We start from the raw sequence: 3,373 nt of genomic DNA, 5'->3' as shown, positions 1-3,373 counted from the left end.
ACAATACAAATTTGAAAAATAAGACATTTTAAAATTCAAATTTGTAGCAGCACAATTTCAAAAAGAGAAAATTGGAAAAGAAGAAAAAAATCAATAATACTGTTTTTAAAACCGATACTTGGCTTTGTATTTCGAATATCAATGCCATATGGCTACCTTGCTCTGGATCTGGAAAACCTTATGACCAAGGAGTGAAGTTCGAACAATTCGATGAGACATTAGCTTCAAGTTAAGTGCCGCTCACCTCTTCATTGACCATTTCACAGTTCAAAGTCGCAATGGATGAATATTTTTTGTACTTGAACATCATAAAATGGAATTCAGAAAGGGCATTTCTTAATGTATATTTATTAAGCTACTACTGAAACTTGTTAGCCCTAAAAATCAGCATTATTTGAAAGTACAAAATATCTTGCTTTATGTGGTTCCCGGTCATTTCTTTGTCACAATGTCTTTATTCTTTAATAACTGTTTCAATTATTTTTAATTATCACTTCAAAAGAAACATGAAATTGTACACAATTATGTGTTGCCCCTAAAAACAGCATTATTTTAGGAGGATTAAGTTTTTAAGATTTCTACAATAAATTGACATTGAAATTCAGGAGCAGTTTTGTTTGTTTGTTTACAGATGAGGTCTCACTTTGTTGCTCAGGCTGGAGTTCAGTGGCTATTCACAAGGGGCAATCATGGTGCACTACAGCCTTGAACGTCTCAAGTGATCCTCTTGCCTCAGCCTTCCAAGTAGCTGGGACTACACCTGGTAAAAGTAGATTCATTATTACATCTTTTAATTTATATTTATGCTATATTCTATTTTTGTATATTGTAGCTACTTAATTTTCTAGAAAATGTTAAGAAATAGGTAATGGATGAACAAATACATCCACTTTTATACGGAGTCTTGTCATGCTAGTCAATCAATCAGTTTTATAGTATTTTACCTCTCAATCAACCAATTAATTGCTTGAATAAACTTAGCCACCTGGACTTTAAGACTAGGCAATCTAAAGAATGAGATACACTTCAATAATGCAAAGACATACCTAGAAGAAAATAAGGACACTTCTTTACATCTGCTTCTAATCCGTTTCAAGAATTAGGTAGTTAAGAAGTAAATTAGGAGGAAGACAATAGAATTGAGTAAAATTCTAGAGAGGTATTAATGTCCCTTGCATTTAAACTGAAGAGACAGAATGATCTATTACAGAGCTAAAGAGCATGCTTTCTGGAGTCTAACATGTATCATTCTTAATTCTACAACTTTCTGTCTGTTTAAGTTGTTTTACCTCTCTGAGCCTCATCTAGAAAATGGAAATGCACCTATCTCTTTACACTTTGGTGAATGTAGAATGAAATAATGTATATAAAAGCATTTAGTAGAGTGCTGAGCACAAAGTATGTATGTTTATTAAATTACTGTCCTGAAAAAAAATCATTTCTGTAGAAAGGAAAAGTAGGGAGGATGAAAAGTGGAGGAAGTACCTGGCTTCTGATAAACAACATATCTGGCTAAATCTCCCTTTAGATGCCTCATAGGGTCCTGCTTTGCCAGTAGGTGACACTGTCATGTCATTAGGAAGGATTTGCAAAGCCCATTCGTGACCAAATGAAACAAATTCCTGGATCAGTTAGTCATGTTCGCCCCGATCACAAAGGGAGCAGAGTCACTTTTTTCTCACGCATGTTCATCACTTCTCCCATTTAAGTTGCTCTCCATCTAAGCTGCTTCTCCCAATTCTGGGTCTCCTATCTCACCAATACCTTCTGACAGAACATCCACTTCTTTTTTCTCATTTTTATCACAGATATCTGAAGCTGAAAATATTTCTGAAAATCAGCAACATCACCTTATTTTTCCTTTAAAATCTGAAGAAAGCAAAACAAAACACAGTAAAAAAACTATGGTATCAATGAGAAAAGGAACACTTACTATGCCAATGCTTAAAGGAACTTTACAAGAGAAAGTACTTTCTTCTTCTCATGAAGCAAGCCTATTTTATATTTTTAACAACTACCATTTACTAAGAGTATACAGCAATGGTGGGAAACACTGGCAACAGCTATGATTGGAATACTTAGCCACATTTTCAGAGTGGGCATATCATATAAACCCACCCTGTGCAATGATCTGGACAGTGATGATGGGTAAATGGTTTTGAGTGGGTTGTTTGTTCTCCAGAAGTGGCAGGAGATGGGGGTCCCATTTCGTTCAGATAGTCCTGAATGTTCACAGAAAAGGAATCATAGAAAAGAGATCACTGCTGGGGGAAAAAAAGAAGATATTAATTTTATTCTGTAATTTGGGAAATCTTGGTTGAGTATTACTTCTGTTAATACTACAAAAATATACTTTTTTTCCATTTAAAAAGATACCCTGACACGTCCATTATTTTTAAAGTGACATTTAATTACAGGGATGCTTAAATAACACCATCATTGTCAATGAAAACTGGGAGGATTTATGTACAAAATGTTTCTCTTTCTTCACAGATAAACTTTAAACTGCCTTTTAAGTTAAAAGTGATTTTGTATCATACATTTTCTGTGTAAAGCTTAAACTTTTTGCACTTTATATTGTTATATATTTTTTGGTTAAAAGTTAAGATTTGCATATAGACCTACAGTGAAACCCCAATTAATAACTACTTTACATAGAGTACTGTCTTCTTTAGTGTTTCTTGAGCTCCAAATTTTGGTTTAAAGTCTAGGAAATTGTTTCCTGGAAAAAAAATCTCTAGTTGTTAACTAGTCAATACCCATTCATTTTTAAAATACATGTTCTGAACTAAAAAGAATAAAATGATTACTGCCAAGTTGGCATTTCAAGTGATGTGGTGGAATCTATAGTCTCAGCCTTCCCATTTAAACCACTGCTGTTGGAAACAGCAACGAGAAAAGAATGCACAAAGGGTGTCCTTCCGTTTAAATTAGAAATGATCAAAATGATAGGACTTCTCAGAGAAATGTGGGGTATTAAACAAACGGACAGAAGGGACCATCCCTCCCCAAATTCACTGGGGAGGGACACAAATCCTTAGTCAAAGCATACTGAAATAACTTCAGTGATCACTAAAAGCTCTAATTTTTTGTGTCATTGCTAATCAGTGGTCCTGACACAAAAAAAGATATTTTCATATCTAAAAATAAGGAATATACCAGATAGAAAGCTGGGGCAGGTGTCACCTATTTCCATGTGTCCCATTCCTAGTTTCTTCTGATTTGTGTGGCTAGACTTAATTAATATGCAAAAACTCATTTAACATTTTAGCATCTCAAAGAGAAACCATTGAATATCAAACTGATAAGAAATGATAGTATAGTAATCCCCCCTTATCCACAGGGGATACCTTCTAAGATCTCCAGTGGATGC

The 3,373-nt window shown here is 34.3% G+C and overlaps 1 annotated feature.

The window, feature by feature from the left end:
• Positions 930–2,129: an enhancer, noted in NCBI's record as "BRD4-independent group 4 enhancer chr5:97321439-97322638 (GRCh37/hg19 assembly coordinates)". NCBI's record gives its function as "activates an origin of replication core promoter dependent on BRD2, P300/CBP, MED14 and CDK7 cofactors, and independent of BRD4, by STARR-seq in HCT116 cells {active_cell/tissue: HCT116}" and the evidence as "EXISTENCE:reporter gene assay evidence [ECO:0000049][PMID:35650434]".

Source organism: Homo sapiens, chromosome 5 (assembly GCF_000001405.40).
Source record: "Homo sapiens chromosome 5, GRCh38.p14 Primary Assembly".
Classification (NCBI taxonomy): domain Eukaryota; kingdom Metazoa; phylum Chordata; class Mammalia; order Primates; family Hominidae; genus Homo; species Homo sapiens.
This window is presented reverse-complemented; position numbering and strand designations above follow the sequence as displayed.